A 21,559-nucleotide genomic window follows, 5' to 3' on the forward strand; every position below is an offset into this window, starting at 1 on the left:
GAGGCAGGAGAATCACTCAAATCCAGGAGGCGGAGGTTGCAGTGAGCCGAGATCACACCACTGCACTCCAGCCTGGACGACAGAGTGAGACTCTGTCTCAAAAAAATAAAAATAAATAAATAAAAATAAAAATCCATGGGGGGACCTCTGTGTCCATTGGCTGGTGTGAGGAGAGGGTGAGGAGCTGCAGAGAAGGTACCAGGCTGAGGACCGCCCCCACCCTTGGGCTACAGAATTGAAGGAGGGGACACATGAAAGATGTTCCTAGACTCGGGCTGGAGGCTGGGGACATCCGAGGGCAAGGACGACGCTGTCCCTGCTCTTGTTTGCAGAGGAGTGCACAGGGCTCACCAGCTTCTTGTTGCTGTTTAAGTGATAGCTTTATGGAGATAGAATTCACATACTGTGACGTTGACCTTTTTAAAATCTACAGTTCAATGGTTTTGCTGTATTCACAAAGTGATTGTATTAGGGTCATCCAGAGAAACAGAACCAATAGAAGGTGTGTACGTGTGTTTAGATAAAGAGATTTATTATTATGAGGAGTTGGCTCACCTCATTACAGAGGTTGGCAAGTGCCAAGATTGGCAGAGTAAATCAGCAGGCTGGAGACACGGGAGAGCCCATGTTGCGGCTCTGGTGTCCACCTGAAGGCCCAAGACCCAGGAGAGCCAATGGCGTCGTTCCAGTCCCGAGACCCAGGAAAAGCGCATGTGTCAGTTTGAGTCTGAAGCAGGAAAAATCTGATGTTCCAGGTTGAAGGCGGTTAAGCGGGAAGAATTCTCTCTCACTCAGGCCTTGTGTCCTCCTATTCAGACCTTCAGGCCTTTGTCACAAAATTACAAAGACCTGATCAGAACAAAATCTGAGAAAAAACCCTTTCCTTCTATCGGTTTTGGATTCATTGGCTGGGACCCTGGAAATTAGACTGACAGAGATTAACAGGAAACAAGCATAACAATTCAAGTAAGTTTTACTTGACACCGAGCCTTCATAAGGAAATGAAGACCCAGAGAAACCGTTAGCCTGAGCGGTTTTTGTTTTGTTTTGAGACAAAGTCTCACTCTGTCGCACGTCCAGGCTGGAGAGCAGTGGCCCGATCACGGCTCACTGCAGCCTTGACTTCCTGGGCTCAAGCTGGGGCCCAGCTGCCGGCCCCGGGAGCTGCTCTGAACCCACTCTTAAGTCCCAGCTCAGACTCCCAAGTAGCTGGGACTACAGGCATGTGCCACCCCGCCTGGCTAATTTTTTATTTTTTGTAGAGACAGGGTCCCACTATGTTGCCCGGGCTGGTCTCAAACTCCTGGGCTCGAGCAATCCTCCTGCCTTGGCCTCCCAAAGTGCTGGGGTTACAGGTGTGAGCCACTGTGCCCGGCCTAGGCCTGAACAGTTTTTATTTGTTTTGCTTGTTTTTTAAATTTGTTTGTTGCTTGTTTTGAGCAGTTTTTTTGTTTATTTCTTTTGCTTGTCTTTTGCCCAGGCTGGAGTGCAGTGGCATGATCTCTGCTCACTGCAACCTCTGTCTCCTGGGTTCAAGCCATTCTCATGCCTCAGCCTCCCAAGTAGCTGCGACTACAGGCGTGTGCCACCACACCCGGCTGATTTTTGTATTTTTAGTAGGGATGGGGTTTTACCATGTTGGCCAGGCTGTTCTTCAACTCCTGACCTCAAGTGATCTGGCCACCTTGGCCTTCCAAAGTGCTGGGATTGTAGGTGTGAGCTGCTGTGCCTAGCCTAGGCCTGAGCGTTTTTATGCTGGGTTTGATGAAGAGTGGAAAGTCGTGGGAAACTGTGACAGAGCAACAAAAGATGAGCTGAACAGTGAGCCCGTGGGGGTCTCGGCAAGACCTGTGTACTGGGGCCCCTCTCAGATCCTCTGTCTCTGGAGATGAGGCTGTTCCTTTCCGCTGGGTGTAGGGAGGGCACCTCTTACGTGAGGGGCTTATGATCTACTTCAGAGAAGGGGCAGGTCAGTGAGTTCTTCTTGGACCTGCCATTTCTTAAATTCCTTCAGCTGAAAATATTTACTATGCCAAGGCACTGTATCTTGGAGTGTGCGTTCCAAGCCCTGTTGCCTTCAACTGATCGGGTGAGGCCCACCCCCATCAGAGCACACAGTCTGCTTTACCCAGGCTCCTGATTGCACCCTTTTCCTGTTTGCCCCGAGAATACTCACCAGCAGTGCTTGTGGCTGCAGCGTTCACCCCAAGATAAATTTGCCGGGAAGTATCTTGCTTTTATTATTATTTTCACATCACTCTAGTATATCGACTTTGGAAACAAAAGACATCATTCTGTTTATAGCATTCCATTTTTAGTAGTGGTATTTCCTTTAAAAAAAAATGGTAATTCTCAGCTGGGTGTGGTGGCTCATGCCTGTAATCCTAGCACTTGGGAAAGCTGAGGCAGGCTGATCACCTGAGGCCAGGAGTTGGAGACCAGCCTGGCCAACATGGTGAAATCCCATCTCTACTAAAAATACAAAAATTAGCCAGGCGTGGTGGTAGGCACCTGTAATCCCAGCTACTTGGGAGGCCGAGGCCGGAGAATTGCTTGAACCCGGGAGGCAGAGGTTGCAGTGAGCCGAGATCGCGCCATTGCATTCCAGCCTGGACGACAGAGCAAGATTCCATCTCAAAAAATAAATAAATAAATAAAATTTAAAAAAAAATAGTAATTCTCGATCGCTGAAAATGTCAAATCCTAGAGAACACAGCATTCCTACAAGTGATGTTAACATTGTTCTTGATCAGTTGTTGGCTGAAGATTCATTTGATGAATCTGATTTTTCCAGAATAGACGACTCAGATGACTCTGTTGTTTTGCTTAGAAATAACTGCAGGAACAATTTAAAAAATTTTTTTTCTTTTTAATTTTTTTGTTTTTTGAGACGGACTCTCTCTGTTGCCCAGGCTGGAGTGCAGTGGCACGATCTCGGCTTACTGCAACCTCTGCCTCCTGGGTTCAAGTGATTCTCCAGTCTTAGCCTCCTGAGTTTAGCTGGGATTACAAGGTGCCTGCCACCACACGTGGCTAATTTTTTGTATTTTTAGTAGAGACGGTGTTTCACCAGGTTGACCAGGCTAGTCTCGAACCCCTGACCTCAAATAATTGGCCCATGTCGGCTTCCCAAAGCGCTGGGATTACAGGCGTGAGCCACCACGCCTGGCCAGTTTTTATATTTAATTTTCACACAGAGCATCCAGTCAGATTTGCTTCAGCCTCAAAGAGCGTGTTTATGTAAAATTAAGTGAGTGCTGGCAGTGAGCTGAACTTTCTAAAAGGTAAAAGGGTTAAATATTAAACTCATCCAAAAACACCTTCACAGACACACTCAGAATAATGTTTGACCGGTTACCTAGGTGCCCCATAGCCCAGTCCAGTTGACACAGAAATTTTTTTTTTTTTTTTTGAGACGGAGTCTCGCTCTGTCGCCCAGGCTGGAGTGCAGTGGCGCGATCTTGGCTCACTGCAAGCTTCGCCTCCCAGGTTCACGCCATTCTCCTGCCTCAGCCTCCCGAGTAGCTGGGACTACAGGTGCCCACCACCACACCCGGCTAATTTTTTTTTTTGTATTTTTAGTAGAGATGGGGTTTCACCGTGGTCTCAATCTCCTGACCTCGTGATCCACCCGCCTCAGCCTCCCAAAGTGCTGGGATTACAGGCATGAGCCACTGCGCCCGGCTGACACAGGAAATTAACCATCACAGTTACACAGCCATCGCCATTAATCCCAGCACATTTCATCATCCCCAAAAGAGACCCTGCCCCCATTAGCCAATCCCCATTCCCAACTCCGGGCTCTCAGCCCCTAGCCACCGCTCATCTGCCTTCGTCTCTATGAATTCACCTGTTCTAGATAGTTTGTATAAGTGGAATCGTACAGTATGTGGCCTTGGTGTCTGGCTCCTTTCACTTGGTAGAATATTTTCAAGGCTCATCCACATTGTAGCAGGTGCTGGTGCTTCATTCTTTTTCATGGCCGAATAATATTCCATCGTGGATAGACCACACTGTGTATCTCTTCATCTGCTGATGGACATTTGGGTTGTTTCTGCTTTTTGGCATAATTCTGTTGTGAAGAATTCTGCAGTGAGTGCTGGTCTACAGGTTTTTGTGTGAACATGTTTTCATTTCTCTTGGGTAATTGCAAGATCATGTGGTTTAGCCAACCAGCCTTTAAGCCATGTGTCTGCTGAGGGACCCAGGCCTGGTGGGGGTGCATTGCTGTGCTTGGCCAGCCAGGTGCTGCGAGTCCGTGTCGCAGCCATTTCTCTGTGCTGTGCTCTGAGGTTGTCTCGCCGGCACCGGGCACTGTGAGCCCCAGGAGGCCAAAGCCCCCTTTGTTTTATCTTGAGTCCAGGCCTCGCTCCATGAACTAGGATGAATGGACATTGAATCAACGCAGGGATGGGTGGGGCTGGGGTGGGGACGCAGAGTGACCCCGGGGGCCTGCAGCTGGGTCCTGGCTGCTGACTTCCAGTTTCCTTTGCCTGTTGGAGCCCAGAACAAGTCAGAAAGGGGAAATGCAAAGTTCGAGTGTCTTTTCTGTGGTAGACTGGCAGGCCTGGGTGGGTGAGCCACTTGCAGCTAGTTGCAGCGTGAGAGAGGAAGTGGGAGGGGAGGGAGAGGGTGAGTTTGGTGTAACTCACCCCTGGAAGGAGGCTGGGCTGAGGCTGGGGGAAGTGACTTTTATTTTTCTGAGAGGATTCTTCCCTGGGGCCAACTTCAAACCAAGGGAGACAAGACCTTCCTGGGGGAGGCTGGAAGTGCTGGGGCCCCCAGGTGGGCAGGTCTCCCAGGGCCAACGTCTTGGGGAAGCTATAAGTTACCATGTTTCTGGACTGTCACACACACACACACACACACACACACACACACACACACACACACACACACACGAGTAAACTGTAACACAAATGTGTGCCCATGAAAGTGCCCACTTTAAACCACCACACAGCCTGTAAAGCGAAGGCCCTGGCCCGCATCTGGGCACCCACTGCCCAGCCAGCCGGTAGGCAGTTTGCACTGTAGTCTGTTACCATCCCTCAGAGATGCAGCCGAGGAGCCCAGCTGGCTTGGAGGGCCCAGTGGGCGCAGCCTCAGGAAAGTGGTCAGGCCCGGGCCAGGCCCCTTCCCCCTCCCAGCCTTGGGAGAAATTACCATATGAATGTAGCTCCTTCCCGGAGTTCGGGCTGGAAGGGCCTGGGAGGGGACAGGCTCCCACCCCAGGAGCTTCCAGGTTCCGGCTGCTGCCTGTGTTAGCTGCGTGAGCGTGAGCGAGCCAGGGGTCACTACTGGGTGGAAGGAAGAAGCGGGCATTTCTTCCAGGAGGTCACCGTTGGAGTCCCACAGTAGGTCAACCCCAGGCCCTGGGTCCTCGGGAGGAGGAGAAAGAAGAGAAGCAGGAGGTGTGGAGGGTAGGCCAGGACCAGAAGGCACACAGGGTCGGGGCAGTGTGGGAGACCCTGGGGGCTCCCTCATTTAACCAGCTAACATCACAGCGTTCATAAGAACACGCTATTACTGCAGTTTTATTACTTTGCTCTGATTTCAGAAGGCACAACTGATGACTTTAGGGAACGGAGAATCTGAGGAAGGCCTCGCAGGAGAGGGTCAGATGCGATCGAGTAAATGTGAGCCGTCTGTAAACTGTAGAGTGCACGCACAGCACCGGTCAGCCCTGGGGTCAGTGTTCCCCTGGTGCTCAGCTCGGCCTCTGCACCTTTTAGTGCTCGGCTGGGCTCTGTGGGGGTCAGGGCTGGGTCTGGTACATTAGAGGACTTCTACCAAGCCCCTGGCAGTGTCTCAGTTACTAAATCCAGTTTGCCAGTTACTAAATCCGCTCTGCCGGTTCCCGAATCACTCTTCCGCTGGGGCCGGCCATGTCACGTCAGGCTTTTCATGCAGGACGGCAGATGGATAGACGCTGGGACCAAGTCATCCTTGGGCCGCGAGACGTCTGACCTTCTGCTGGTGTCTCAGAAGATGCTAGCTCTCCGTGGCATGTCTTCCACGCGGTGCTTGGGGACCAGTGGCCTCTAAGGGGCCCCCCTGCCTCAGCGTGGGGAGTGGCCTGGCCAAGGTCTCAGTGTCTGGTTGGAGCCAGGCATAGGCTCAGGTGTACTGGCTGGAGGCCTCCTGCCCATGGGCTCTGCCTGTCCTGTGTCCCTGGTCCTTACTGTGTCTTCTGTGTTCCTGGGAGAGACCCCAGGGGCCCTGAGCCCAGCACTGGGGTTGGGGAGTGGGCGGGGAAGAGGGTGGGGATTAGGGTCCCTGGCTGCAGAACAGCCAGGCCCCAAGTCCCCACTCCACTCCCCTCCCACCGGGCGCCTCATCCCACACTGACCATTTCCTGAAGAAAATTTCCTGAACCGGCCTCCCACCCCGGCTGTCCCAGGAAGCCCATCCATCCTTCCGCCTTAATGCTTTGTGGCTCCAGAAGGATGGTGGAAGCCGGAAATCATGAGTCTCATTCACAGGCGGCCACACACCGAAGCCGCGGAGACGCCGTGGGAAAGGACTCTGGCCAGCGCGGCCGGCACAGAGGGAGCGGTGTTACCGGGGTAGACGGGAACCGTGGCTGCCCCCATGCTGGTCTGGGAGAGACGAGGGGCCGGACGAAAGGACAGCAGACTGGCCATTCATTCATTTATTCATTCACTCATTCACAGCGTCTTACTGGGTGCTTCGGACGTGTAAGGTTTTGTGGGTAGTGAATGCGACAGACCCCAGACAGCAATCGGAGGGCCACGTGTGTAAGAACTGAGGGACCTAGGCTGGGCGTGGTGTCTCAAGCCTGTAATCTCAGCACTTTGGGAGGCAGAGGCGGGCGGATTACGAGGTCAGGAGATCGAGACCATCCTGGCTAACACGGTGAAACCCCGTTTCTACTAAAAATATAAAAAATTAGCCGGGCGTGGTGGCGGGCGCCTGTAATCCCAGCTACTCAGGAGGCTGAGGCAGGAGAATGGCGTGAACCCGGGAGGCAGAGCTTGCAGTGAGCCCAGATAGTGCCACTGCACTCCAGCCTGGGCGACAGAGTGAGACTCCATCTCAAAAAAAACAAAACAAAACAAAACAAAACAAAAACTGAGGAACCCAGTGTAGATGAGCTATCCCGGGAAAACAAGTGGGAGTTCTAGGAACAGCATGGGGAAGGGATGGTCCCGGCAGGGAGGACCTCTGTGGGTAGCCTTGTTGGAAGAGCTGAAAGGCAGCCAGAGAGGCTGTGCGTGGATGGAAGCTGAAGAGTAGGTTAGGGGCGTGTGTTTTGTTAACAAAGACTTCAAGCATTTACTGACCAGGCACAACACTATGTGCTTCATAAATAAATATCTCATTTGATCCCCAGCATTCTTATGAGACAGATGTTATTATCCCATTTCACATGTAAGAACATTGAGGCACAGAGTGGTTAAGTTACTTGCTCAGGGTCACACAGCACGTCGGTGGTAGGCAGGATTCTGGAGCCACAGGAATCTGGTATATCCCAGGTGCAATGGAAACCAGTCACGGCTTCATAGAGGGAAATCATCAGATTAGTAAATTTTACACACGCCCCCTGGTGCTTTGAGGAGGAGGGATTCGGACAGGGGCAGCTAATGGTGGTGGCTGTGAGATGTGTTGGGTTAACATTGATGAGAGTTTGGGATGGATGAGTGGATTCGGAGTAATGGAAATGGAGGGCCCAGGCCCGGCCCCTGGAGATCTAGCTGCAATAGCTGTTGGCTGGAGAGGCTGTTCACTTAGATGGGGGATGGGGTGGGAGGCAGGTGAGATGAGAGCTCCAGAGTTCAGCCTGGGGCACGGTCATTGGGTTCAAGATGCCTTCAGATGTTGGGGCTTGACAGTGACAGTGGCTGCAGATACCCAGGACCCAGCAGAGGGCCTGGCACAGCGGGGCCCAGGGACACGTCTGTGAGTCAGGCTGGCACTCAAGTGTGAATCTGGACAAAGAAGGTGGCATTGTTGGCATTGAATGCTCAGGGGCTGGGTGAAGTCAGCTAGGGAGAGGGGCTCTCAAGGCACCAGGACTGACTCCGTGGGTGAGGGCGGAGGAGGAGACGGCAGAGGCTGAGAGAATAGCCAGAGACAGGAGGAAGGTCAGCAGAGCCATGCACAGAAGCCTGGAGAAGATTTGAGGAAAGGAAGGGCTGGGTGGTCGTCATTCCCTGCAGCTAGGAGGCAAGGGTGACCCCTGTGTGTTTCATTCTTCAGAGGATTGGTGGCTCCATCTGGTCAGAACCCCAAGTCCAGAGATGCATCTGAGCTTCATGCCATGGTGCAGGCAGCAGGAGCCATGGAGCAGGCCTGCGGGGTCACGGCCTGCCTGCTGCTTCCTGGTGTCTCTACCCTGAGCTCAGGGGTTGCTTGGATGCCCTGTGCTGCATCCCCCCAGGCGGTGTTCCAGAGAGGATGAAAGTGGCTATCTCAAGGTGTGACCAGGTAGCGGTCCATGCACACTGCTTTTTCCTGGGGAGAGTCTGGGATGGAAGGGTATGTGTGTGTTTCTGAGACTCCTTGAATAGGCTCCATGTACCTATCCACCCATCTTACCACCCACCCACCCATCCACTCACTCACCCATCCACGCACCCACCCATCCACCCATCCACTCATCCACCTGTCAACCCATCTATCCACTCATTCACCCATCCACTCATCCACCTATCTACAGTCATTCACTCATCCACCCATCCACTCATTTACCCATCTATCCATCCACTCATCCACCTGCCCATCCACTCACCCACCCATCCACTCATCCACCCATCCACCCATCTATCTATGCACTCATCCACCCATCCACTCATCCACCTATCCACTCATTCACTCATTCACTCATCCACCCATCCACTCATTCACCCATCTATCCATCCACTCATCCACCCATCCACTCATTCACTCATCTGTCCATCCACTCATCTACCCATCCACTCATTCACCCATTTATCCATCCACTCAACCATCCACTCATCCACCCATCCACTCATCATCCGTCCACTCACCCATCTATCCACCCATGTATCCATCCACTCATCCACCCATCCACTCATCTGTCCATCCACTTATCCACCCATCTACTCACCCACCCATCCACTCACCCATCCATCTACCCATCCTCTCATCTATCCATCCACTCATCTACCCATCCACTTATCCATCCATCCACTCATCCGTCCATCCACTCATCCACGCATCCACTCACCCATCCATCTACCCATCCACTCATCCACCCATCCACTTGTCTACTCATCCACTCACCCACCCATCCACTCATCCACCCATTCACTCATCTACTCATCCACTCATCCATCTATCCACTCATCCACCAATTCACTCATCCACCTATCTACTCATCCACCCATCCATCCAGTCATTCATCCATTTGCTCATTCATCCGCCAACCCATCCATTCACCTGCCTGTTCATCCACCTACCCATCCATTCATCCATCTGTCCATCCATCCACCCACCCACTCACCCATTCACACACCCATACACCCATCCATTTATCCAACCATCCATCCCCATCCTTACTTCAGAAAGCATTTGAAGTTGCTGGGGTGTGCACTTGGAAAATGCGTCATAAGCTTTCATAGGCCTCTCTTTGGCTTCCTCACTTCTTTGATTGGTCTTTCTTTCGGACATGCAGGATTCTGAGCAGCTCTTCTGGGAGGTGGGTGCAGTCCAGGTAGGCTGCCTGCAAAGCTAGGACCGAGGGAGCCACATCCAAGGCACTGTGGGTTCCCAAGGCGATGGCACTGTGGGCCCACTGCTTCCAGACCTCCTCAACTCCCAGGCTCCTGAGCAGGAGGACTCCTGGGGCAGGGCCTGGAGACGGGAAGAGAAAACAATTCCAGTCTCTCAACTCTTGTCAGTCCAGGTGGGTGCTGCATGGATTGGGGGCACCTGGAACAGTTGGCCCCTTCACCCCTTTCCCCCACCTTTCCAGCCCCTCTGGCTATAATCAGACAGTTGTGTGCGATGTCTTTCTCCCTCCTGAAGGGGTCATTTAGTCAGGCTCCTACTCATGGCCCAGGAATGTGCCCCTCCCTGCCTGTCCCCTACCCCCAAGCAGGCCGTGCCTCCAGCCCCCTGCTGTCTCTGAAGGGCCTGGGCATGGGGCAGCCTCTGCAGCATCCCCAGGGCCCGAGCTGATCTGCACAGCAGAAGGGAATTGGGGGAAAGCTTTTTTTCTACCCAGCACCTGGCAGGGGGCCACCCTGTTGCACCCCAGAGACCCTTGTCTAAGTTTTGTTATTTCAGATGATTTCATAAGTTGGGGGAGGCGGAGCCCCAGCCCCCACAGCCCCTGTTGTTGCCTCACTGCTGAGCTCTGCTGTGTATCTGCTGACAGGTCTGCTGATAGCAGAAGGGGCTGGAGAGAGGGAAGCTCTGGGCCCTGCCCTCCCCAACCCCTGCTTAGGGGACATCCCTGATAAGAGGAAATTCCAGCCTGTGACAGATGGCCAGTGTCCACCCACCCACGGGGGAACTTTTCTTTCTCTTTGTAAGTTTGCAGATTTGCCAGGAACTAAAGGAATCTCTGGTTGACAGGCCACTGTGGACATGGCTGGAGGGCTGGCACGGGCTGGATCTTGGGGTTGCTTTGAGGTAGGGGCCGCTCCTGCTGGAAGGTTCCTTGGGGTGGGGAAGGCATCAGGGCCATTCCCTGACCCTCCCTCTGCAGTGGATCCACTTCAGAGCCTGAGACAAGGCAAGGGGGCAGCAGAAAACAGAATATAAAATAGCCCCCCCCACCACACACCGCACCAGAAGTCAGAGGATTCATCCTTGGCCTGCCCTCCCTGCAGCCTAAGTTCTGAGAGTGGCTCTTTAGGAAGTGAATGGTGATGGTTTGCAGGTCAGAGCTTGCTCTGGCCCAAGATTGATGTCTCAATAGGCCGCGGAGCCTGGGTGAAAAAACTCAGGCTAGGGAGGTGGTGGGTTGCAAATGAAAGAACAGAGGAGGGCCTCTTCCAGAAAGCGGCGGGTGGTGTGAGGAGCCCTTGGACCTTGTCCAAATTTGACTTTACCGACTGGGGCCAATTGAAACCGTGCTGGCAGAAAGGCAAAACTGCTTGAGATTCCTTCCTCCACAATAGAGGAGAGGTTTGCTTGAAAGGGTTTGGCGAGGGAAAAGCTGGAGGAACCTTGGCCGGCAGTAAAAGTGGGGACCCCCGCCCCCTGCCTCGGGGGCGCCTCGGCCCCTGAATGAATGAAAGAGGAGGCTGGATGGAGACAGACTCACACCACCTGTCCCTTCCAGGTCCTGCAAAGGAGCACACAGGGTTCTTGTTGGCTCTTCCACCTTGTTAGTCACCAAGAAGGAGAAAACACCAACAGGGGAACTGTAAAGCTGCAGTTTTGTTTAAGCCCCATAGTGGAAACCGGAAAGAGCTCCAGCTCGGAGAAAAATGCAGCTCTTTGCCTTTGCAAATCCGTGTCTTTCTCTGGGAGGCCAGAGCCATTGTGCTCGATTTCTAAGCAGGGTTTCAGAGTGTCTCAGGAGGGGAAGGCAGAGTCTCAGATTTCCGGCATCCCAGGTCCTAACCAGGCTTTGAGGAGACGCTTCCTGTCCCATACAAAGTGTGAAGTGTAATTTGATTTGGAGTTAGTTAACAAATTAGATGAGCTGTGTGCATTTTAAAAATTCAGTCCTTGATCCCCCACCCACACACATTTGCACAATTTGGTCATTTATATTCAGTGTTTCCATCTTTAGAAGAGAACAGGAAGTCCCCAGTGACATTTATGGAGTGTTTGTAGTAGCTTGGGTAGGTCAGTAGGAACACAATGCAGTGAAAAGCAGAGTTGAGATGGGAAAATATCCTGTTTTCAGAGCCCCCCAGGGATGACATTCCTTATCGTCTCTGTCCACCCGCTCTGGAGTCCACTCCGCAAACAGCAACTTGTTCTCACTTGAGAGCTTCCTCCTGCCGGAGCTCAGGGATGGAGAGCAGCTGGCCTCAGTCTTCTCCTCTTACCTCTTTGTTTCTCAGACTCATCTTCCACCTTGAATAATTGTTTTTAACCTGCTCTCCCTCTTCTCTAGCTGTAGAACCCAGAACTTTGTGTGTGTGGTCAAAAGTTTAGAGAGTGCTGCAGGTAATGCTGAGATAACCCTATTAAATTCTGTAAGTTCTCATCACACCAAGTTTGTTTGTTTTTTTTAATTCTCATTTTATTTTATTTCATTTTATAGGGATGGGGTCTCGCTACGTTGCCCAGGCTGGTCTTGAACTCCTGGGCTCAAACGATCCTCCCGCCTCGGCCTCCCAGAGTGCCAAGTTATTTTTTTAACTGGGATCCACGGGCCTAGGGATTCTTTGATGAACCGTTCAAAATACGTGTGTGTCTGTCTGTCTGTCTTCAATGTATACTTTTCTAGGGAGAGTCTTTACTTTTCACCAGAGGTTTGTGGCACACACATGTCCTGTACTACTGTATCAGATTGTGAATTCCTTACATGTTAAAGACTGCTTCAAATCTGTCCGGAAGTCTCGGCTAATAAACATTTAAATAAATGAACTTCAAATTCCCATGTGCCACCACTGTTTTCATTCTGACTACTCTCAAGCCTGTAGTGTCATCTTTTTGTTACTGTGAAGTAGACACTCAATAAATACTTGTCAAATGAATCAATGTTATGGTCCTGGTCCACTAGGACCCCAGGATCATCGTCTACCATTATTGTCTATAGTTTCTTTACCATCTTGTTCCAGAGCAGTTCTTTCTCTGAGGTCTGCTCACCTCTGCACGTGTGTCTAGTTTCCAGCCCTGTCGCCTTACCATTCTCTTTCCTTTACCTGCATTTCCTGAACTGTTAATAGTTAACAATAGCTTCTCCCTCCACCCACTCACTCATACCTGAAGTGAGAAGTCATCATTGAGGTCTCTGTGGATTTTGTCAGCCCAACCTGGGGCGGCCTCCTGGAGGTGGAGTTTTCAGATGAGGGATGGACATTTTGGTGTCTGCTGGGTAGATCTACCTGGGAGCTTTGGCAGGGGCCCCAGGGCAGCTCTGCCTCTTTATTTTGGCTGTGGGACCCCTGGTGCACTAGGGTTTCTCAAGTAAGCATCTGTGTCCTGGGAGAGCCATAGGCAGGCCTGAGAGGGCCCCTGGAATCTGGGACCCCCAGCCCGGCCCAGTAGCTGGTACCATCATCTTTCTTGCAAGGGAAGTTATGGAAACTAAGATGCTAATGTGCTTTGATAGGCCTGGGGTGGCTCTAAGCCCTGGGAAGAGCCCTGGCAACTTTCCCTGGCTGGCGGGTAGAATCTTCTCCTGGCAGTTCAGGGCTCTGCCTCCAGCTCCCTGGGGGAGAGCAACTGAGGGAGGAGCTGGAGGCCAAGGCCTCAGTGCTGAGCTGCCTGCACCGCAGCTGCACCTTCTGGGTCCTGGCTGCAGGAACCCCATACTTCTCCAGCCTTTCCATGGTTCCCGAAGACCTGGCCTGGGGAGGGGGTCAGCAGCCTGGGGCTCACCTACCTGGCTTCAAATCCTGGCTCTACCGCTTACTCGCTTTGCGACCCTCATAATTGACAAAAGCCCTCTCGGTCTCGGTTTCCTTATCTGTGAAATGGGACAATAACAGTGGCTACCTTATAGGATTGTGTGATGATCCATCAGTTATAATAGCTCCTGAGCAGCGTTTAGAGTAACACCTGGGGCTCGGTGCAGTGGCTTATGTCTATAATCCCAGCACTTTGGGAGGCCAAGGTGGGAGGATCGCTTGAGGCCAGGAGTTTGAAACCAGCCTGACCAACATTAGTGAGACCCACTCTCTAAAAAAAAAAATTAGAGTAACGCCTGGCACAGAGAGCCCCCAGTAAACCTCGGCTGCTGTGATGAGCTTTGTTTCTTCATTTGTTCATTCATTCACCAGACTTTTTGCCGGGGCTTGCCGTGAGCCCTACGCTGCTCTGAAGAAAGCCGGGCTGGGGTGAGCGTGATGGATGAGGTGTCTGGCTTCACAAACCCTGTGTGGGGGGGTTGTGGTGAGAGGAAACCGCACACATCATTATTCAGTTACCATCGTGGGGAGACTGTCTGGACGCAGAGAGCAGGCTCTGTGTGGGAGCGGGGAGGGCAAGCCCTGGTTGCGAGGCAGGGCTTCCCCAGGATTCAGCAGGGATCTGAAGGACTTTGCAGGCACCCAGGGAGATAGGAGAGGAGGAGGGAGCAGCCCTGGCCGGACACTGTCCTCCTAGCATTGCCTGCATCAGGGACTCACTCAGCTTTAAGAAGCCCCTTTGTGGGGGACAGGGAGCATCTGTTAGTTTATAGGACCTGAAGTGCCCCCATGGGCTCAAGTTTCTGGGAAGGCCTGCAGGTGGCCGTAGGGCTGCCGCAGGGGTGCTGGCCCCAGGGTCTGGATTCAGGGGAGCCTGCAGAGGGAGGGCAGCTGGAGGCTGCTCCAGTGTGCATTGTTACGAGGCAAAGTAAGGAGACTGCTGGGCCCACGCTGGGCCGGGGTGGATGGAGGCAAGGAAGTCTTCGCCGGGGCAAGGGCACCAGCTGTAGATGCCGGCAGCTTTCTCCTGGACACGGGCCTGGAAGGCTGACAGGGTGTGGTGAGTGCCACCGGCTCCCCTGCCGTGGCCTGGTCAGTGGCTTCACAGGCCTCCGTGGGCAGGAGGAGGATGACCTTGCATTCTGCTTGGCCACCATTGGCAGTGACAGACAAGGTGTGTGGGGATGTGGCCATTTCGGTCCGTGCTCTGAGAGCCAGGTGTGGGTTGGGTTTGGGGAAGACAGGGGAATGGCATTGACTTGACCCTGAGCACTTTGTCCTGGGGTGCAGGCCCGGCTGTCACTCCCCTGGAGCTGGGAATGGCATTGGGCGGTGGCTCAGGGTCCCTTGCCCCAGCGGCACCATCTCTGCATTTGGCCAGCAAGGCTGATGGGACTTGTGTGGACATTTCTGGGACGTAGACCAGGCAGCATGACACACAGGGAGGGGTAGGCAGAGAAGGGCGGCCCCTGGGTCTTGGTTTCCAAGTCAGGCTTTGCAAGCCTGCTGTGTCAAGCCCTCTCTCGGCACCAGGCCAGGTGGGCCAGGGTCAGCCCTGGGGCTGTGATGAGTGTGAGTGCCCCTAAAGTGTGTCATGTCCAATAGCTGCCTCCTCTCTGGGCACTGCCTCCCAGCCAGATATCCTACAGCCCCCGTCCCAGCCACAGACAGCAATCTGATTCCCTCATCCTCGGCAGGTCCTGGGGTTGGGGTAAGAATTTGTCACTAAGTGCAGATGTTCCCAGAGGGTGCTGGCTCAGGGCTGCGTGGATTACAGCCCTTTCATCCCTGCCTTAGACCCACCTGCAACTCTGGAGAAAAGATGGCCCAGTGGACGCCTGCGGGGAGGAGGGAGCTGGTCCCCAGGATGAGCAGATTTGGGGGCAGTCCCCATCACGGGACCGGTGACCTACTGCCACCAGCGCCAGTGAATGGCAGAGGGGCCCTGGCATAAGGCCTGGGTTCAGAATGGGAACCTGCAGAGAAACTGTCAAGGTCTCCCGCCACCTGACACCTCCGCCTGGCTGCCACCCTAGAAACACCCTTGCTGCAAGAAGATGGGGGAGTTTGTCTGGGGCATGGTCTGGCGACACCAACTTGAGAACCTCAGGCCTAAGTGTTGGCCTCTGGGCCTCAGCTGTCCTCTGAGCTGTAAAGCTGGCTCCTGGGCACTTGTGGAAAACACTGGACTCTTTATTTTATTTTACTTTACATTCTGGGATACATGTGCAGAACGTGCAGGTTTGTTACATAGGAATACAAGTGCCATAGTGGTTTGCTGCACCCATTGGACTCTTCAATCCAGCTCCACTAGAAATGACTGCCTTCTTTCCCTTCTTCCGTCCCTCCCTCCTCCCCTCCCTTTTTTCCTTCCTTCCCTGTTTCCTTCCCCCTCCCTCCTTCCCTTCTTTCCCTTCCTCTCCCGTCCTCATGGGGATATAATTTCCATATTACACCATCCGCCGATTCAGAAAGCACAGTTGAGTGGCATTTTTTCACAACCTTCTATAAGCATCACCTCTAATTCCAGAACGTTTTCCTCACCCCAAAAGGAAACGCCATCCTCGGTACACAGTCACTCCCCCTCCCCCAGCCCCTGGAAATCACCAATCTGCGCTTTGTCCCTACAGATGTACTTATTCTGAACATATGACTAGAACCCTAAAAGATGTGACTTTTTGTGCTTGGTTTCTTGCAGTTGGAATGTTTTCAGAGTTCATCTGTGTTGGCGCACGCTCGTGCCTTTTTATGGCTGAGAAATAGTCCGCTGTGTTGACTCAGCACGTTGGGTTTCTCCACGCATCTGTTGGCGGATGTGTTAGTTATTTCTGGAGCCGGGTGTGTTGTGCTACTCACGGGCTGCACTAGGAGCTGGGGATATCACTGAGTAAGCCACAGCCTCGGGCACCCAGGAGCTCGCAGAGCAGGAGCTGGGAGGGAGGTCAGGAGGTGCATGGCCTGTTTGCCAGGCTGGAGAGACTTGCAAAAAGTCACTTTGAGCCAGAAACCAGAGCCTGAGGCCTCTGACTCCCAGCTGCGGAGCCGGGAGGGAAGCTCTGCATTTTGCTTTGACTGTGGGGTGACGTGTCAGTTACTGTCCAAATCAGAACCTTTCTGAGAGTCGACGTGGGTACTGCTGATAATTAGTCTGGATACCCGAAAGAATGGAAAGCAGGGACCCAGACAGATCCTTGCACAACCGTGTTCGTAGCAGGGCGAGGCCTGGAGGTGCGATGGGGATCTCAACGGGGCAGCTGCCGTCTTGCTGGAGCCCACGGTCTTTGGGGGGGGTCACAGGTGTTAACCGCATATCATACAAGCAGGAGTGTGAAATTTCAGGGTTGCCAAATTCAGTGAGGGTCTTGTGCTGGCCTGGCCACTTACAGTGGCATTTCAGGAAAAAAAATCACTCTATGGACCTCAGTTTCCCCATTAGTAAAGAGTAGGTTGGACTGGAATTCTGTACCATCCAGTATAGTTGCCATTTATGAAATGTGGCTATTTAAATTTAAATAAAAATAGAAATTCCGTTCCTCAGTTGGACTAGCTCAGTGTCAAGTGCTCAGAAGTCACTTGTGAACACACTGTGGCAATTCCTCAAAAAACGAAAACTAGAACCACCGTAGCATCCCATAATTCCACTTCTGGGTGTGGATTCAAAAGAATGCACAGCATCTTAAAGAGCTAGAGATATTTGTACACCCACATTCATAGCGGCTCTGTTCACAGTAGCCAGCGGGTAGAAACAACCCGAATGCCCGCGGTCAAATGAATGGAGAAATCAAAGGCGGGACAGGCCGGGCGTGGTGGCTCACGCCTGTAATCTCAGCACTTTGGGAGGCCGAGGCGGGTGGATCATCTGAGGTCACAAGTTCAAGACCAGCCTGACCAGCATGGAGAAACCCCGTCTCTACTAAAACAAAATTAGCCGGGCATGGTGGCGGGTGCCTGTAATCCCAGCTACTTGAGAGGCTGAGGCAGGAGAATTGCTTGAACCTGGGGAGGCAGAGGTTTCGGTGAGCCGAGATCGCGCCATTGCACTCCAGCCTGGGCAACAAGAGCAAAACTCTGTCTAAAAAAAAAAAAAAAAAGGGTGGAACATACAAGGAATTTGACTCAGCCGTAAAGAGGAAGTTAGGATACCTGCAACAGCAAGGGTGAACCTTTCGGGTATTACGCTAAGTGAAATAATTTGGTCACAAAAGGACAATCCTGTAGGATTCCACTTATACCAGGTCCGTAGAGTAGTCAGATTCAGAAAAACAGCAGAATGGAGGTTGCCAGAGGCTTGGGGGATGGGGCTGGGGAGTTGTTTAATGAGGACAGTTTGTTTTACAAGATGAAAAAGTTCTGGAGATTTGTTACACAACAATGCGAATGTACTTAACACCACTGGACTGCACACTTCAAAATAGTGACCGTGGCAAACGTTATGACAATTAAAAGGAAAAGTCACGTGGCCAGTGGCTACCACGCTGAGCAGCGCAGGCCTCGGACGGTGTCGTGGTCACAGACAATGGAGTGGGTGATCTTTACCATTGTTTCCAGCTGTCTGAGCACCATGGTGTCCTGGGGCCAGGATGAAAGTGTCTCTGGGTATGGGGGTCTCTGCTTTTCCCACTTGGGAGTCCTGAAGGCAGACCCCAAAGCTCACCTGGCCAGGTAGGAGAGCGAGGCGGGCTCTTGCATTGCTCTCTGCGTGCGTGCCTGCCTGCGGGCCAGCCGGGGCCTGCAAGGCCGCCTCTCGAGGGAGGGGTTGCAGGAATGGCTCTCACCTGTGCAGAAGGCAAGCCACTGCCCTACGTCAATGGCAAAGATGGGGCTCGGCTGCGTTGTATTATTATTTCTCAAGCGGGGCCCCTGGTGGGCAGGATGTTTGGTTTGATTTGAGTTTCTGCAGTGAGTGCTGGTGCCTGTGGAGGGACCCAGCTGCAGCTGAGCCGGCCCCTCCCTCGCTCTGGGCTCCAGGGGCGTTGGGGGCGAGAAAGGAGAGTTCAGGGGGCAGCGCCTCCCCCCAGGTCCTGCTGGGGAGGGTTGAGGGATGCTGGGGGGAGGTGGGGGCGGGTAGGGGCTGGTCCCAGTCCCAGGCAAAATGGCTCTCAGACCCACAGGCAGATGGAAGCGATTTTCGGTCACGTGGGTGGGGACTGAACTGCTGCCCCGCAAGGCAAGGCCCCATGTCTGGCTTCAGGAAGCGGCCCCAAAGCCACATGGTCCATGGCCAGATGCAGGGCTGTGTCTTTGTTTATTTAAAGGTCCTGGAAGCCCAGGGGAGAGTATTTCTGAAGGGGGAGCAGGAGCAGGAGCAAAGCCCTGAAGGCTTCCAGGCTGCGTGGCCTGGGTGGGGGCCACGTGGGGGCACAGAGAGAGGAGCCCTGGCCTCCAGGTCCGCCTGTGGGTATTGCTCTCAGCAGTGGAGATGTGTGGACCCCCCCTTGGCATTTCCCAACAAGGAATTATATTGTTCCTTTGTTCCCCCAATTCCATAAGATAGGAATTCCTGTGCCCTGTGGAGGCTGAGAAGACGGGGAGGTGCCTGTGAGGATAAACCAGCCCCCAGTTTCTGGCTTCCAGAGTCTTTTCCTCTCTCACCTCTGATGCCTCAGGCCTGGGGAGCCTCCCTCCGACACCCTCTGACCGCTCCAGTGAAATAGGCCGAGAGGGATGGCTTGAATCGGCTGGGGATGCAGGCTGCAGCCAGGGGGCTCAGTGGGCATTTCCTGAGTTCGGTTCTTGCCCCGCAAGTGGAAGGGCAGTTGAACTGAAGTCTCCCACTGCCCCTCCTGGCCTGGAAGCCTGCCTCCCACCTTCTGGGCAGAGTGAGGAGTGGGCGTGGGCCGGGAGGGCTGCCTCCTGTCTGGGAGGGCTGCTCACTTGCCTGTCACGGGGGATGAGCCCCCTGCAGCCTCCCGTGCTGTGGCCCTGGCTCCCACGCCGGCTCCACTCCCCTGTGGCTGCCCCTGCTGGGTGCCCACCGGTCCCAGGGAAAAGCCACTCCCCTCCCGGAGGACTGGCGGGAGGGGCCCTGCCTGGGAGCGTGCCGTGTGGTCCCTGTCTTAGCGCAGGATGCCTGAGGCCAGATCCTCCCTGGGAGGCAGGATGGGGCAAAAGTCTCCCCGCAGGCAGAGCAGGGCCTGGATGGGCCCAAGCAGGGACGGGGGCACAGAACAGCAGCCGCCCAGCCTGCGTGGGAGCTGAGGGCCACCAAGGGCAGCTCCAGCCTGTGGGGACTAGCAGAGGCACCACCTCTGTGACCAGCGAGTTGTCTGCACCTGCATGCGCATGCACCAGTGAGTGTGGCGAGTCTGAGGTGTGCTGGGACCTGGCCCGTGTACCAGCCAGCCCTGATGGGAACCAGCCCCATCCTGGGTACCCCTGGAACCCCACTGTGTGGGAGCACCTGGGTCCTCAGCAGGCGTCTTCCGGGCGTCCGCCCCCAGCCCCAGGCCTCTGACCCGTGTGTGGTGTCTTAACAGCAGCCAGGAGCAGGGCCATCGAAGGGACCTACAGACAGAAGAGGCTTTAGTGATTTCGGGAAGTTCAGCTCCACGTGCCCCACATACCCAAGAGTAAAACTTGGTCTTGGCCTGTGGGTGTGCAGCCCGTGGGCGCTGGCCAGGCACACAAGACGGCCGCCTGGGTCAGTCCAGGGGGAGGCAGATGTGGTGCAGGGGCCCCCCTCCTCCATGAGCCCAGGAACAGCTCTGCATCCAGGCACCCGCCCTGCACCCAGCACTTTTCCTTCTCCCAGGACTGCTGGCTCGTTCTATGGGATTGAACACACAACTCCATGGGGACCGACGCTGGTTCTATCCCCCTTTCTTACAAGACCATCCATGGGGATGTGGGAGGCGGGGACACACGCTGGTTCTATCCCCGTTTCTTACAAGACCATCCCTCCTGTGTCTTGGCTCGTGGATCGGCTTCTAAGGCCTTTGAGTGGCAGCAGGCGGTACAGCTTATCTGAGTAGAGGTGAAGGAGAGGGCCAGGTCCACCTGGGTGGCCCGAGGCAGTGTGGAGGGCCAGGAGAGGAGAGCACCCTCCACCCTTGTCTGAGCAGCCCTCCAGGGTACGGAGACAGGAGTTCAGGGTCAGCCCTGCCTTGGAGCGCAGGGGGCCCCCAGCTTGGCACAGCTCCTAGAAGAGGAGATGAAAAAGCCTGGCCTTGGGAGTCTGGGGATGGAGCTTTGCTGGGGAGGCAGCGTGGCTGCAGGATGGCAGCTTTTTAGAGGACACCACGGCCAGGGACATCCACCCGGGGGAATTCTCAGGGGTCGCCTGGGCAAGTCGCTTAGCCTTTCTGAGCCTCAGTGCCTCAGTTTCCCCATCCAAGGATGGGTGTGACAACCACCTGGCAGGCGCCTGTGTGTGAGCCCCTGTTCCGCTCTAACTCCTCTGCTGTTCCTTCCCCAGCCACTGAGGCGGCTCCCAGCTGCGTTGGCGACATGGCCGACACCCCCAGAGATGCCGGGCTCAAGCAGGCGCCTGCATCACGGAACGAGAAGGCCCCGGTGGACTTCGGCTACGTGGGGATTGACTCCATCCTGGAGCAGATGCGCCGGAAGGCCATGAAGCAGGGCTTCGAGTTCAACATCATGGTGGTCGGTGAGTCCTCACCTTGCATGCCACTCAACCAATGCCGGAAACCAGCCTCAGCCCCCAGGGCGGCCCACAAGCCTTTGGGCTTGGTCTTCCCTTCTGTAAAATGGGGCAGCAACCCTGACCTCAAGGACGGATTGCCAGTGACATTGCGTGTGCATGCATGCGCCTGGGAGGAGCCCACAGCCTCCAGCGGCTCCTCAGAGGGGCCTGTCCTGCACATCCAGGGCCCCTGAGATGACTTTGGGGAGCCCAGGCCGGCCTGGAGCAGGTCCTGATGAGTGGTCGCTGCCTCTGAGCAATGACGTCAGCTTGTGCAGAGGGTTCTGTGGCAGCTGTCCCCTCACTGTTGCTCCAGCCTGGCCCTCCAGGCTCCCCACCGCACCCCACCGCACCCCGGCCAGAGGCTTCCCAGCAGCTCAGCTTCAGCTCTGCC

General features: G+C 54.3%; 1 protein-coding gene across 11 annotated transcripts in view, besides 18 other annotated features; it reads left to right on the forward strand.

Moving 5' to 3' along the window:
• The window catches only part of SEPTIN9 (septin 9), a 219,098-nt gene that overhangs the window by 179,708 nt on the left and 17,831 nt on the right, over positions 1-21,559 (forward strand). For 10 of the 11 annotated variants that reach the window (NM_001113491.2, NM_001293695.2, NM_001113492.2 and 7 more), the window contains 1 exon segment: positions 20,938-21,129. In NM_001113491.2, coding sequence (NP_001106963.1) covers positions 20,938-21,129 — 192 coding nt within the window. 11 annotated transcript variants of the gene reach the window in all.
• Positions 341-460: an enhancer, noted in NCBI's record as "active region_12844". NCBI's record gives its function as "activates an Ori minimal core promoter by ATAC-STARR-seq in GM12878 lymphoblastoid cells {active_cell/tissue: GM12878}" and the evidence as "EXISTENCE:reporter gene assay evidence [ECO:0000049][PMID:35858748]".
• Positions 481-540: an enhancer, noted in NCBI's record as "active region_12845". NCBI's record gives its function as "activates an Ori minimal core promoter by ATAC-STARR-seq in GM12878 lymphoblastoid cells {active_cell/tissue: GM12878}" and the evidence as "EXISTENCE:reporter gene assay evidence [ECO:0000049][PMID:35858748]".
• Positions 1,181-1,380: an enhancer, noted in NCBI's record as "active region_12846". NCBI's record gives its function as "activates an Ori minimal core promoter by ATAC-STARR-seq in GM12878 lymphoblastoid cells {active_cell/tissue: GM12878}" and the evidence as "EXISTENCE:reporter gene assay evidence [ECO:0000049][PMID:35858748]".
• Positions 4,059-4,118: an enhancer, noted in NCBI's record as "active region_12847". NCBI's record gives its function as "activates an Ori minimal core promoter by ATAC-STARR-seq in GM12878 lymphoblastoid cells {active_cell/tissue: GM12878}" and the evidence as "EXISTENCE:reporter gene assay evidence [ECO:0000049][PMID:35858748]".
• Positions 4,719-4,848: an enhancer, noted in NCBI's record as "active region_12848". NCBI's record gives its function as "activates an Ori minimal core promoter by ATAC-STARR-seq in GM12878 lymphoblastoid cells {active_cell/tissue: GM12878}" and the evidence as "EXISTENCE:reporter gene assay evidence [ECO:0000049][PMID:35858748]".
• Positions 4,719-5,551: a biological region, named in NCBI's record as "H3K27ac-H3K4me1 hESC enhancer GRCh37_chr17:75462088-75462839".
• Positions 4,800-5,551: an enhancer, noted in NCBI's record as "H3K27ac-H3K4me1 hESC enhancer chr17:75462088-75462839 (GRCh37/hg19 assembly coordinates)". NCBI's record gives its function as "activates a minimal SCP1, AML or CMV promoter by ChIP-STARR-seq in naive H9 embryonic stem cells {active_cell/tissue: H9 hESC(naive)}" and the evidence as "EXISTENCE:reporter gene assay evidence [ECO:0000049][PMID:30033119]".
• Positions 5,552-6,304: an enhancer, noted in NCBI's record as "H3K27ac-H3K4me1 hESC enhancer chr17:75462840-75463592 (GRCh37/hg19 assembly coordinates)". NCBI's record gives its function as "activates a minimal SCP1, AML or CMV promoter by ChIP-STARR-seq in naive H9 embryonic stem cells {active_cell/tissue: H9 hESC(naive)}" and the evidence as "EXISTENCE:reporter gene assay evidence [ECO:0000049][PMID:30033119]".
• Positions 7,450-8,002: an enhancer, noted in NCBI's record as "H3K27ac-H3K4me1 hESC enhancer chr17:75464738-75465290 (GRCh37/hg19 assembly coordinates)". NCBI's record gives its function as "activates a minimal SCP1, AML or CMV promoter by ChIP-STARR-seq in naive H9 embryonic stem cells {active_cell/tissue: H9 hESC(naive)}" and the evidence as "EXISTENCE:reporter gene assay evidence [ECO:0000049][PMID:30033119]".
• Positions 9,558-10,757: an enhancer, noted in NCBI's record as "BRD4-independent group 4 enhancer chr17:75466846-75468045 (GRCh37/hg19 assembly coordinates)". NCBI's record gives its function as "activates an origin of replication core promoter dependent on BRD2, P300/CBP, MED14 and CDK7 cofactors, and independent of BRD4, by STARR-seq in HCT116 cells {active_cell/tissue: HCT116}" and the evidence as "EXISTENCE:reporter gene assay evidence [ECO:0000049][PMID:35650434]".
• Positions 9,558-11,350: a biological region, named in NCBI's record as "BRD4-independent group 4 enhancer GRCh37_chr17:75466846-75468045".
• Positions 10,637-11,344: an enhancer, noted in NCBI's record as "H3K27ac-H3K4me1 hESC enhancer chr17:75467925-75468632 (GRCh37/hg19 assembly coordinates)". NCBI's record gives its function as "activates a minimal SCP1, AML or CMV promoter by ChIP-STARR-seq in primed H9 embryonic stem cells {active_cell/tissue: H9 hESC(primed)}" and the evidence as "EXISTENCE:reporter gene assay evidence [ECO:0000049][PMID:30033119]".
• Positions 10,721-10,860: an enhancer, noted in NCBI's record as "active region_12849". NCBI's record gives its function as "activates an Ori minimal core promoter by ATAC-STARR-seq in GM12878 lymphoblastoid cells {active_cell/tissue: GM12878}" and the evidence as "EXISTENCE:reporter gene assay evidence [ECO:0000049][PMID:35858748]".
• Positions 11,221-11,350: an enhancer, noted in NCBI's record as "active region_12850". NCBI's record gives its function as "activates an Ori minimal core promoter by ATAC-STARR-seq in GM12878 lymphoblastoid cells {active_cell/tissue: GM12878}" and the evidence as "EXISTENCE:reporter gene assay evidence [ECO:0000049][PMID:35858748]".
• Positions 11,345-12,050: an enhancer, noted in NCBI's record as "H3K27ac-H3K4me1 hESC enhancer chr17:75468633-75469338 (GRCh37/hg19 assembly coordinates)". NCBI's record gives its function as "activates a minimal SCP1, AML or CMV promoter by ChIP-STARR-seq in primed H9 embryonic stem cells {active_cell/tissue: H9 hESC(primed)}" and the evidence as "EXISTENCE:reporter gene assay evidence [ECO:0000049][PMID:30033119]".
• Positions 12,736-13,236: an enhancer, noted in NCBI's record as "H3K4me1 hESC enhancer chr17:75470024-75470524 (GRCh37/hg19 assembly coordinates)". NCBI's record gives its function as "activates a minimal SCP1, AML or CMV promoter by ChIP-STARR-seq in naive H9 embryonic stem cells {active_cell/tissue: H9 hESC(naive)}" and the evidence as "EXISTENCE:reporter gene assay evidence [ECO:0000049][PMID:30033119]".
• Positions 13,237-13,737: an enhancer, noted in NCBI's record as "H3K4me1 hESC enhancer chr17:75470525-75471025 (GRCh37/hg19 assembly coordinates)". NCBI's record gives its function as "activates a minimal SCP1, AML or CMV promoter by ChIP-STARR-seq in naive H9 embryonic stem cells {active_cell/tissue: H9 hESC(naive)}" and the evidence as "EXISTENCE:reporter gene assay evidence [ECO:0000049][PMID:30033119]".
• Positions 13,815-14,655: an enhancer, noted in NCBI's record as "H3K27ac-H3K4me1 hESC enhancer chr17:75471103-75471943 (GRCh37/hg19 assembly coordinates)". NCBI's record gives its function as "activates a minimal SCP1, AML or CMV promoter by ChIP-STARR-seq in naive H9 embryonic stem cells {active_cell/tissue: H9 hESC(naive)}" and the evidence as "EXISTENCE:reporter gene assay evidence [ECO:0000049][PMID:30033119]".

Source organism: Homo sapiens, chromosome 17 (assembly GCF_000001405.40).
Source record: "Homo sapiens chromosome 17, GRCh38.p14 Primary Assembly".
NCBI classification, from domain to species: Eukaryota; Metazoa; Chordata; class Mammalia; order Primates; family Hominidae; genus Homo; species Homo sapiens.